Consider the following 13045-nt stretch of genomic DNA (forward strand, 5'->3'; position numbering starts at 1 on the left):
CTCCCCCCACCCCACGACAGGCCCTGGTGTGTGATGTTTCCCTTCCTGTGTCCATGTGTTCTCATTGTTCAATTCCCACCTATGAGTGAGAACATGCAGTGTTTGGTTTTTTGTTCTTGCGATAGTTTGCTGAGAATGATGGTTTCCAGCTTTATCCATGTCCCTACAAAGGACATGAACTCATCCTTTTTTATGGCTGCATAGTATTCCATGGTGTATATGTGCCACATTTTCTTAATCCAGTCTATCATTGGTGGACATTTGGGTTGGTTCCAAGTCTTTGCTATTGTGAATAGTGCCGCAATAAACATACGTGTGCATGTGTCTTTATAGCAGCATGATTTATAATCCCGTGGGTATATACCCCAGTAATGGGATGGCTGGGTCAAATGGTATTTCTAGTTCTAGATCCTTGAGGAATCGCCACACTGTCTTCCTCAATGGTTGAACTAGTTTACAGTCCCACCAACAGTGCAAAAGTGTTCCTATTTCTCCACATCCTCACCAGCACCTGTTGTTTCCTGACTTTTTACTGATCGCCATTCTAACTGGTGTGAGATGGTATCTCATTGTGGTTTCGATTTACATTTCTCTGATGGCCAGTGATGATGAACATTTTTTCATGTGTCTTTTGGCTGCATAAATGTCTTCTTTTGAGAAGTGTCTGTTCATATCCTTTGCCCACTTGTTGATGGGATTGTTTGTTTTTTTCTTGTAAATTTGTTTGGTTTAGTTCTTTGTAGATTCTGGATATTAGCCCTTTGTCAGATGAGTAGATTGCAAAAATTTTCTCCCATTCTGTAGGTTGCCTATTCACTCTGATGGTGGTTTTTTTTTTTTTTTGCTGTGCAGTAGCTCTTTAGTTTAATTAGATCCCATTTGTCAATTTTGGCTTTTGTTGCCATTGCTTTTGGAGTTTTATACATGAAGTCCTTGCCATGCCTATGTCCTGAATGGTATTGCCTAGGTTTTCTTCTGGGGTTTTTATGATTTTAGGTCTAACATTTAAGTCTTTAATCCATCTTGAGTTAATTTTTGTATAAGGTGTAAGGAAGGGATCCAATTTCAGCTTTCTTCATATGTCTAGCCAGTTTTCCCAGCACCATTTATTAAATAGGGAATCCTTTCCCCATTTCTTGTTTTTGTCAGATTTGTCAAAGATCAGATGGTTGTAGATGTGTGGTATTATTTCTGAGGGCTCTGTTCTGTTCCATTGGTCTATATCTCTGTTTTGGTACCAGTACCATGCTGTTTTGGTTACTGTAGCCTTGTAGGATAGTTTGAAGTCAGGTAGCATGATGCCTCCAGCTTTGTTCTTTTGGCTTAGGATTGACCTGGCAATGTGAGCTCTTTTTTGGTTCCATATGAACTTTAAAGTAGTTTTTTCCAATTCTGTGAAGAAAGTCATTGGTAACTTGATGGGGATGGCATTGAATCTATAAATTACCTTGGGCAGAATGACCATTTTCACGATATTGATTCTTCCTATCCATGAGCATGGAATGTTCTTCCATTTGTTTGTGTCCTCTTTTATTTCGTTGAGCACTGGTTTGTAGTTCTCCTTGAAGAGGTCCTTCACATCCCTTGTAAGGTGGATTCCTAGGTATTTTATTCTCTTTGAAGCAATTGTGAATGGGAGTTCAGTCATGATTTGGCTCTCTGTTTGTCTGTTATTGGTGTATAAGACTGCTTGTGATTTTTGCACATTGATTTTGTATCCTGAGACTTTGCTGAAGTTGCTTATCAGCTTAAGGAGATTTTGGGCTGAGACAATGGGGTTTTCTAGATATACAATCATGTCATCTGCAAACAGGGACAATTTGACTTCCTCTTTTCCTAATTGAATACCCTTTATTTCTTTCTCCTGCCTGATTGCCCTGGCCAGAACTTCCAACACTATGTTGAATAGGAGTGGTGAGAGAGGGCATCCCTGTCTTGTGCCAGTTTTCAAAGGGAATGCTTCCAGTTTTTGCCCATTCAGTATAATATTGGCTGTGGGTTTGTCATAGATAGCTCTGATTATTTGGAGATACGTCCCATCAATACCTAATTTATTGAGAGTTTTTAGCATGAAGAGTTGTTGAATTTTGTCAAAGGCCTTTTCTGCATCTATTGAGATAATCATGTGGTTTTTGTCATTGGTTCTGTTTATATGCTAGATTACGTTTATTGATTTGTGTATGTTGAACCAGCCTTGCATCCCAGGGATGAAGCCCACTTGATCATGGTGGATAAGCTTTTTGATGTACTGCTGGATTTGGTTTGTGAGTGTTTTATTGAGGATTTTTGCATCGATGTTCATCGAGGATATTGGTCTAAAATTCTCTTTTTTTGTTGTGTCTCTGTCAGGCTTTGGTATCAGGATGATGCTGGCCTCATAAAATGAGTTAGGGAGGATTCCCTCTTTTTCTATTGATTGGAATAGTTTCAGAAGGAATGGTACCAGCTCCTTCTTGTACCTCTGGTAGAATTCAGCTGTGAATCCATCTGGTCCTGGACTTTTTTTGGTTGGTAGGCTATTAATTATTGCCTCAATTTCAGAGCCTGTTATTGGTCTATTCAGGGATTCAGCTTCTTCCTGGTTTAGTCTTGGGAGGGTGTATGTGTCCAGGAATTTATCCATTTCTTCTAGATTTTCTGGCTTATTTGCATAGAGGTGTTTATAGTATTCTCTGATGGTAGTTTGTATTTCTGTGGGATTGGTGGTGATATTCTCCTTATCATTTTTTATTGCGTCTATTTGATTCTTGTCTCTTTTCTTATTTATTAGTCTTGCTAGTGGTCTATCAATTTTGTTGATGTTTTCAAAAAACCAGCTCCTGGATTCATTGATTTTTTGAATGGTTTTTTGTTTGACTATCTCCTCCAGTTCTGCTCTGATCTTAGTTATTTCTAGACTCCTGTAGGCTTTTGAATGTGTTTGCTCTTGCTTCTCTAGTTCTTTTAATTGTGATGTTAGGGTGTCAATTTTAGATCTTTTCTGCTTTCTCTTGTGGGCATTTAGTGCTATAAATTTCCCTCTACGCACTGCTTTGAATGTGTCCCAGAGATTCTGGTATGTTGTGTCTTTGTTCTCATTGGTTTCAAAGAACATCTTTATTTCTGCCTTCATTTCATTATGTACCCAGTAGTCATTCAGGAGCAGGTTGCTCAGTTTCCATGTAGTTGAGTGGTTTTCAGTGAGTTTCTTAATCCTGAGTTCTAGTGTGATTGCACTGTGGTCTGAGAGAGAGTTTGTTATAATTTCTGTTCTTTTACATTTGCTGAGGAGTGCTTTACTTGCACGTATGTGGTCAATTTTGGAATAAGTGCAGTGTGGTGCTGAGAAGAATGTGTATTCTGTTGATTTGGGGTGGAGACATTCTGTAGATGTCTATTAGGTCCTGTTGGTGCAGAGTCGCGTTAAACTCCTGGATATCCTTGTTAACTTTCTGTCTCATTGAGCTGTCTAATGTTGACAGTGGGGTGTTAAAGTCTTCCGTTATTATTGTATGGGAGTCTAAGTCTCTTTGTAGGTCTCTAAGGACTTGCTTTATGAATCCGGGTGCCCCTGTATTGGGTGCATATATATTTAGGATAGTTAGCTCTTCTTGTTGAATTGATCCCTTTACCATTATGTAATGGCCTTCTTTGTCTCTTTTGATATTTGTTGGTTTAAAGTCTGTTTTATCAGCGACTAGGATTGTAACCCCTGCTTTTTTTTGCTTTCCATTTGCTTGGTAGGTCTTCCTCCATCCCTTTATTTTGAGCCTATGCGTGTCTCTGCATGTGAGATGAGTCTTGTGAATACAGCACACTGATGGGTCTTGACTCTTTATCCAATTTGCCAGTCTGTGTCTTTTAATTGGAGCATTTAGCCCATTTACATTTAAGGTTAATATTGTTATGTGTGAATTTGATCCTGTTATTATGATGTTAGCTGGTTATTTTGCTCGTTAGTTGATGCAGTTTCTTCCTAGCCTCGATGGTCTTTACAATTTGGCATGTTTTTGCAGTAGCTGGTACTGGTTGTTCCTTTCCATGTGTAGTGCTTCCTTCAGGAGCTCTTGTAAGGCAGGCCTGGCGGTGACAAAATCTCTCAGCATTTGCTTTTCTGTAAAGGATTTTATTTCTCCTTGACTTATGAAGCTTAGTTTGGCTGGATATGAAATTCTGGGTTGAAAATTCTTTTCTTTAAGAATGTTGAATATTGGCCCCCACTCTCTTCTGGCTTGTAGAGTTTCTGCTGAGAGATCAGCTGTTAGTCTGATGGGCTTCCCTTTGTGGGTAACCCGACCTTTCTTTCTGGCTGCCCTTAACATTTTTTCCTTCATTTCAACTTTGGTGAATGTGACAATTATGTGTCTTGGAGTTGCTCTTCTTGAGGAGTATCTCTGTGGTATTCTCTGTATTTCCTGAATTTGAATGTTGGCCTGCCTTGCTAGGTTGGGGAAGTTCTCCCGGATAATATCCTGCAGAGTGTTTTCCAACTTGGTTCCATTCTCCTCATCACTTTCAGGTACACCAATGAGACGTAGATTTGGTCTTTTCACATAGTCCCATATTTCTTGGAGGCTTTCTTCATTTCTTTTTACTATTTTTTCTCTAAACTTCTCTTCTCGCTTCATTTCATTCATTCGATCTTCAATCACTGATACCCTTTCTTCCAGTTGATCGAATTGGCTACTGAAACTTGTGCATTCATCACGTAGTTTTTGTGCCATGGTTTTCAGCTCCATCAGGTCATTTAAGTACTTCTCTACACTGTTTATTCTAGTTAGCCATTCGTCTTAATATTTTTTCAAGGTTTTTAGCTTTTTGTGATGGGTTCAAACTTCCTCCTTTAGCTTGGAGAAGTTGGATCGTCTGAAGCCTTCTTCTCTCAACTTGTCAAAGTCATTCTCCATCCAGCTTTGTTCCATTGCTGGCGAGGAGCTGCGTTCCTTTGGAGGGGGGAGAGGCGCTCTGATTTTTAGAATTTTCAGCTTTTCTGCTCTGTATTTTCCCCATCTTTGTGGTTTTATCTACCTTTGGTCTTTGATGATGGTGACGTACAGATGAGGTTTTGGTGTGGATGTCCTTTCTGTTTGTTAGTTTTCCTTCTAACAGTCAGGACCCTCAGCTGCAGGTCTGTTGGAGTTTGCTGGAGGTCCACTCCAGACCGTGTTTGCCTGGGTATCAGCAGTGGAGGCTGCAGAACCGCGAATATTGCTGAAAAGCAATGTTGCTGCCTGATCGTTCCTCTGGAAGCTTCGTCTCAGAGGGGTACCCAGCCATGTGAGGTGTCAGTCTGCCCCTACTGGAGGGTGCCTCCCAGTTAGGCTACTCAGGGGTCAGGGACCCACTTGAGGAGGCAGTCTGTCCGTTTTCAGATCTCAAACTCCATGCTGGGAGAACCACTACTCTCTTCAAAGCTGTCAGACAGGGACATGTAAGTCTGCAGAGGTTTCTGCTGCCTTTTGTTCGGCTATGCCCTGCCCCCAGAGGTGGAGTCTACAGAGGTAGGCAGGCTTCCTTGAGCTGCGGTGGGCTCCACCCAGTTCGAGCTTCCCAGCTGCTTTATTTACCTACTCAAGGCTCAGCAATGGTGGGCGTCCCTCCCCCAGCCTTGCTGCCACCTTGCAGTTCGATCTCAGGCTGCTGTGCTAGCAATGAGCGAGGCTCTGTGGGCATGGGACCCTCTGAGCCAGGCATGGGCTATAATCTGGTGTGCCATTTGCTAAGACCATTGGAAAAGCGCAGTAGTATTAGGGTGGGAGTGACCTGATTTTCCGGGTGCCCTCCATCACCGCTTCCCTTGGCTAGGAAAGGGTATTCCCTGACCCCTTGTGCTTCCCAGGTGAGGCAATGCCTCGCCCTGCTTTGGCTCACGCTTGGTGGACTGCACCCACTGTCTTGCCCACACTGTCCGACAAGCCCCAGCGTGATGAACCCGGTACCTCAGTTGGAAATGCAGAAATCACCCGTCTTCTGCGTCTCTCATGCTGGTAGCTGTAGACTGGAGCTCTTCCTATTCGGCCATCTTGGAACCCAATCCTCACTGGACTCTTTTTTTAAAAAAGTTATCTATGACAGAAATATCTTAATGTCTGAAATAGTCCTTTAAATCAATTTTAAGGGCAAAAATTTGGTAGAACATATATTTTGATAACAATTTCAGAACTGTATAATTCAAAACTAGAAAGGATTAATCTAGATCAATGAGTTGAATGTTTGGGACGTCTCAGATGTGGCTATTTGTGTTTCCATTAAACGTTGGTTTTAAATATGGGAGGAATGTGTTAGGAATTTAAAACACCATGTCAGCTAGGGATTGTGAACTTAATTAAAAGCATTTCTTTAGCTGGGCACTGTGGCTCATTCATGTAATCCCAGCACTTTGGGAGGCCGAGGCAGGCAGATCACTTGTGGTCAGGAGTTTGAGACTAGCCTGGCCAACATGGTGAAACCACATTTCTACCAAATATATAAAAAGTTAGCCAGGTGTGGTGGCATGCACCTGTAATCCCCACTACTCTGGAGGCTGAGGCAGGAAAATCTCTTGAACCCAGGAGGCGGAGGTTGCAGTGAGCTGAGATCATTCCACTGCACTCCAGCCTGGGTGACAGAGCAAGACTCCATCTCAAAAAAAAAAAAAAAAGACATCACTTTAATTCTTTCACCCTCTTATCCTTTAATAATACACGTAAAGACATTTCAGGTTTTATTTTGTATGTAACAATCTTAGACAAATTTGTCAGACTTTGGGCTCTGTAAAATGTCAATGTTGTGTCTGATAAACGAGTTTAGATTGAAAGAACAATTACAATTCTGGCAACATTTTGATTCATCATCTTTGAAATTTACGTTATTTAGGCTTTATTAAAGTATGGCTTCTTGCTTATCTTCTGTGTACCTTTTCCTCCCTGCCTTTGTCTGGGCCCTACTCAGCATAATGGAAATGTCTCCACCAAGCTGGTAGCAGGCTGAGCCATCATTGTGTGGGGTGGCCATAGTTGTCTCGATGTGGTACTTATCATTGAAGATCTTGGTGCTTTTTTACCTTTTTAATACTAAAGTGTTGTATTTTTAAAAAAAGCAATAGATTGACACTTATATAGCCTTTAAGTTGTATAACGAAGCAATAATATATTTATTACAGCACTTAAAATAGAGTTCAGTAAGTTTTTGGAAATTTGTTCTGAAGTGATAAAGTCAGTTATGATTATGTAGAATGACAGTTTCAATCACATGCAGTGATTTGAATTCTTAAAATGCATTTGATTACTCAGAACAACTAGTTTTTTTTCCCCTTTCTTTTACTACCCCACCTCCAGAGGTCTACAAATGAACTGTTTTCAAAACCAGACCAGTTACTGTAACATATTTCAGCAGTGGCATTCCTATGGTACATTCTTGAGTGATTATAAATGAGCATGAGAAGTTCATTTATTTTATTTTTCTTTTGAGATTATTTTTCTAGTTAAAAGAGTGAGTATAAATTTTAAAGAGTATATAACCTTATTCTTCTACCTATTTGGAAGTGAAATATTTTAGAGTCCTAATGATGAACCCAGTTACTTCTATTAAAACTTAGGTATGGGGCTTTGTGGAGCTATAATTGATTTGGAAAATAAGACAGTATCAACCCCCATATTTCTATTTTCTTGATGACAGAGGGCAGCAAAATTCTAGATGAAATGGATCTTTACTGTTTTGATTCTTACCAGTTGCTTCTTCACAGCTGGTATCTGTGAAGATGGAATCTGTAGCAGAATTCAGCTGAGAGATAAAATTGTTCAATCAGCATTCAGACAGTAATAAATAGATGTGATTTTTTCATTAGTTTATTAATTTTATTGATAATTTTTTCTTGGTTTCTATTTTTTTTACTGAAAATATATCAGTGTGCAATTGATTTGATAGGGAAAAAGATAATGTGGTTCTCAGATATCTTCTGTCATTTCAATTTTTGAAGTGATTTTCAGAAACCAGCTGAAATTTATCTGATTAAAGTGTTTTAAATGATCAAATAAACCTTTTAAAATGATTCCAAATATCATATACACAACATTTGTACTATTCTCACAAAGTTATGTGTGTTAAACTCTCACAGCTGATAATTTGGCTTTCTAGGCAATGAATCGCTCCCTGGCTAATGTGATTCTTGGAGGCTATGGCACCACTTCAACAGCTGGTGGAAAACCCATGGAAATTTCTGGCACACATACGGAAATCAACCTTGACAATGCAATTGACATGATTCGAGAAGCTAATAGCATTATTATTACACCAGGTAAAGAAAAAAAGCAAAAGCAAATAACCTATAATAGCTGTTATAATTGATGACATTAAAATTTCTTATAATAGGAAAGTAGAATTGAAACTTCTTTAGTTTTGAAAATATAATGGAAACAATAGCAAATCTATGATTACTAAGTGAAAAATACTGAGAATTCTCAGTTTAAATTAATATTTTGGAGATCACATGGAAATTCTATAAATTCTTACAGTGGGTTCTAGCCATGTCTTTCTGTGATTATGTGTACATGTTTACATCATTTTCGAGTCTTTTTTCTTCTCATTGGTAATTTTTGGGCCCGTTGTCAAGATTAAATTAGATATAGTATATGAAAGTCTTTAGCTCACTCATTAGAGTTGCTTAATAAATGTTGTTTTTTCAAAAATGATTATTTAAAAAATGATCAAGAATCATGTGGTTTTCAACAAAATGAGGCAATGTGGCCTAGTAGAAAGAGCTTGGTATGGAGTCACGATACCTCACTTTTGTTCTTAATTTTGCCTCTAACAATCTATGTGACATTGCCCAAGTCATTTAATCTCTCCAGGCCTCAATTTTCCAGTTTTCTGAGTTTTAGCTCAGTTCTTCTTCACTGTTATCACAGGATGCTGTGGTATTATGAGTCATACATTGGTTTCAGATTAAGATTTTAACTCTATCATGTTATCAAATGAGTTTTCTGTAAATAAAATCTACTGATTTGACATGTGAGTAGTTTACTAGTTAGTTATGTACTGAAGTAAAAATAGGAGACATTAGCTGAATTGAGTGTTAAAGTGTAAGCCTTCTCAACTTGGGACAATATCACTTTTTAGGGGCATTTGAAATAGGTGGATTTGGGTTTTTGGTTGTCCAAAGATGGGAATGCTACTGTCAATTAGTGGATGGAAGCAGATAAATGAAATGTACTGTAACGTGTGGGACACTGCTGCATAATGAATCATCACACCCAAAGTAGCATTGGTCTTACCTATTGAGCAATGCTGTTCTGGAGTGTAAAGGTGTAAAGATGTAGAGGACACAATCTATTTCCTCTAGGCACTTTCCATCTAGTGATTAAGTCAGATAGGTAGATCAGTAATGCAAGGTGGGTTATGATAAGGGCTAAACTGAACTATGTAGACAGTTTTTCAATCACAAGAAACCTATGAAGGTTTGTAGGGAGGCGACGATTTGTTTTTAGGACTTAGAGAATAGATGGTGTTGGGATGGGAGAAGCCAACGGGAATAGCTTGAGCAGAGACTTGGCATTTGAAAAAATGGGGATAGAAAAGTGGGGACAGATGTGAGATTCATTGTGCAGGTAGAATGGACAGAAAGGAGGGTGAAGATGACTGAAGTTCTTGGTTATACCTGTAATAACATCAGAAATATGGAAACAGTTTTTAGAGTGTGGGGTGGGGGGAAATTTTGAGTTCTTTTTTTGAGACATTAAATTTGAGGTGAAGATGGGACAAGAGCCATGTTATACTGGCGCTCAAATGACAGGTCAAGCCTGCAGACAGATTGGGAATCATCAGATGGTTGTTGAAGCCATGAGAGGAGCTGAGATTTTCAAGGAGAATGTGAGGGGCAAAGTTAAAGCCCTTTGGAAACTTATATAAGCGGAGAAAAGAAGGAGAAAAACTATTCAAGGAACTAGAGAAAGAATAATAACAAAGTTAGGCTGGGACAGGGGACCGCAGTGTCGTCAAAGCCAAGTATGAAGAGAGTTTAAAAACATGAGAGAGAGAGAGAGAGAGAGAGAGAGACAGAGACAGAGAAAGAGACAAGAGAGGGAACACCCAAGGGTGTGTGCAGTGTCGGGGGTGGGGTTGCACAGCAGCATGAGACACTACAGAAGATTGAGGAGCAATCATTACATTTTCAATTTCAAATTTAGGGCAATATTTTTAAAAGCCCAGCTTATAAATTTGCTTTCATTTCTAGTCCTGTTAAATGATTGCCTCTGTTGGCATAAACATGTGTTTTCATCAAGAGAGAAGTTGTACTTCATGTAATTTCAAAATAAAAAACACATTCTTCTGTGTTCTTAATGTTCCTTGCAGGCTATGGTCTCTGTGCAGCCAAAGCTCAATACCCCATTGCTGATTTGGTAAAGATGCTCACTGAGCAAGGCAAAAAAGTCAGGTAAGCGTTTGCAGTGGAGAGGCTTGCACTATGTGTAAAGATGTGTGTGTGGAGAAAAGGAAATACAGTGGACCCTTGAACAATGTAGGGGTTAGGGCACTGACCCGCCCATACAATTAAAAATCCATATATAACTTTTGACTCTCCAAAAACTTACCTACTAATGGCCTACTGCTGATCAGAATGCTTACTGATAACATAAACAAAATATGTATCAATTAACAAATTTTGTATATTATATGTATTAAATAGTAGAGAAAGGAAAATGTTACTAAGAAAATCATAAGGAAGAGAAAGTATATTTACTATTCCTTAAGTGGAAGTGGATCATCATAAAGGTTTTCATCCTTGTCTTTACGTTGAGTGAGATGAGAAGAAGGAGGAAGAGGAGTTGTTGGTCTTGCTCTCATGAGTGGCAGCGGTAGAAGAAAATCTGTGGATAAGTGGACCCTCTCAGCTCAAACCCATGTTGTTCAAGGGTCAGCTGTATATGGCTTCTGAAAAAGATGACTGTTTCTTAAAGTGGTGTTTTACATGTGTAATCCTAGGTAAAGAAGTTAAGTTGTTAATGAACAAGCCATATTCTGGTCTTAGTCTTACTATTTAGATTTTGCTGTTCCTGGATTAGCGTCAACTCAAATATTATCGACTCATTTTAGAAAAGGAAAATGTGTTATTCCAAATTCTTGGAGATTTATTAATGGGGAAATCGGATGTCTTGTTTCTCTGTGGTTTGATTTGAGGAAAGAGGTCAAGCGAAGCATTTTAACTACATCAAGTTGTATCTTTTTGGTTTCCGGTCACACTGAATAAAAACAAAAGGTCTTAAAAGAGAGGCCTTGAAGAGCAAGACCAAGTAATAAACCTGTGCCCTGGTTACTGTTTTGCTGAGTTAGCTGAGTTAGCCAGTCAGAGTACTTGTGCTGGACTGGATGCAGAATCTTAATCTCTGGCTGGAATGTCCCAGCTACTAGTAGTGGTGAAAGAAACTTAGATGATGAAATCAGGGGGCTACCTTAATTGTATTAGTGTCGGCAGTTAATTGTATTAGTGTCAGCTGCACTTTATTTCTTCCTTCCTTTGTTTCCTACACTTCCTTTCTTGTCTCACTCCTTCTCCACTCCTTCCTCCAATCTATAGTCTGTGTTTGTCAAATATATAGAATCAAAATACTATTTTGTGGTGGGACCAGCATTTCTGTGACAAGATTTTCATGTTTATTGAGAGTCTTAGATGAATTGAAGGTAGAAGATGAGAAAAGTCATTGACTTTATTTTTAAATTTTTGTATAAGAAGTCTACTTTTTAGTTACTTATTCCAATTTTTACATAGGATATTAAGCTGTGCTTTTTAAAGCCATCATTTTGCTGCTGAGAACATTTGTAGGCCTGCAAGTGAAAATGATATGTTAAACAACGTTTTATGATTTTCCTAAAAAGAAACTGTTTTCTCTATTTAGTCCAGATGTGAAAAAGTGTAATGTATTCGTAATGCCCTCTTTCACCACATAAATATTTAGGAGATGGGTGGCAATCATAATAGAGAAAGAAAAATGCCTTTCATGTCTTAATTATCCTTAGGGAAGGGAAGGATTAATTTGGCATACCTCTCTTGTTACCTGTTGATCAGCCTAGGTTAACCAGACATCTTGGAAAATCAGTCCAGTGTTAAATAGGTGGATGTGGAGTGAAGAACATCGTGACTGTAGTGTAGCTTGAAGGAAGGCAGCATCTTAAGGGAAATGTCAAAGGAAATAAGAGAGATGGGAAAAATGATCTGAAAGGAAAAAGGATAAGACAAATGAATTTTTTGTTTCTGATCTGATTAAAATTAGAATTTTATCTATGAGGACATGATATAAACTACTGTTGTAGGATGATTTCTGTGACAGTGCTTGGGAAGAGTAATTATTTGATGAAAGGTTTAAGAGAAATATTTAATTATACATATATGAATAGTTTTTCAGTTCTACATTTTTTATTGAAGTAATTGTGTGAATAGGACCAAAGCCTTTTCATGAGAGAGCTTTTCATTGCTTCACATAATTATTAACATAGTTCAAATAATTTTATAAATTTATTAATAATTTATTATGTAGGATCAGAATAAGATTATTAATTCAGTCTAGTTTCTCTATTTGTAAGTTATTTATAGTCATCTTTCTTTCATATTAAAGGTAAAATATATTAATATATTGTAGTTTTTTTTTACTATAGTATGTTGAATTTTCAACATGAACTTTGTAACAAATTATGTAAATCTTCCATTTGAATTAAATGGAAGAGGACTATTCTTGCTAAAATTATGACAGCAGATCATCATATTTTTCTGTGTGAATTTTTTTTATTGAAAGAGATTTGTAGAAACTTTGTGATTTTGCTTTGTGCGTGTGTTAGCTTTTCACAGGAGAAATGCAAATTTTCTTTACGAAGTTAGGAATATGTATATACATAGATGCTAGCTTTTTTCCTTTTTTTTTTAAAGGGCAAACGTCTGTTTGAACAAGAGATGGCTGCAGCAGTTACCTCATATTTTAATGAAATAAATCTGTATTTACAGTTTGCAGTAATTTAGTCCTTTCATCACTCTGTGGAGCTCCCACGGTGTTCATTGAGTACAGCTGCTGGGCCTCTGGAGTTAGCAGGTCTTTGTGCC

At 38.2% G+C, this 13045-nt stretch overlaps 1 protein-coding gene across 8 annotated transcripts in view; it reads left to right on the forward strand.

The window, feature by feature from the left end:
- NNT (nicotinamide nucleotide transhydrogenase) overlaps positions 1-13045 on the forward strand; it is a 104722-nt gene that overhangs the window by 64742 nt on the left and 26935 nt on the right. For all 8 annotated transcript variants that reach the window (NM_012343.4, XM_005248274.6, XM_017009293.3 and 5 more), the window contains 2 exons: positions 8095-8254; positions 10309-10390. In NM_012343.4, the coding sequence (NP_036475.3) occupies positions 8095-8254; positions 10309-10390 (242 nt within the window). The remainder of the gene's footprint in view (positions 1-8094; positions 8255-10308; positions 10391-13045) is intronic.

The sequence above is a fragment of the Homo sapiens genome, chromosome 5 (assembly GCF_000001405.40).
Source record: "Homo sapiens chromosome 5, GRCh38.p14 Primary Assembly".
In the NCBI taxonomy this organism is placed as follows: Eukaryota; Metazoa; Chordata; class Mammalia; order Primates; family Hominidae; genus Homo; species Homo sapiens.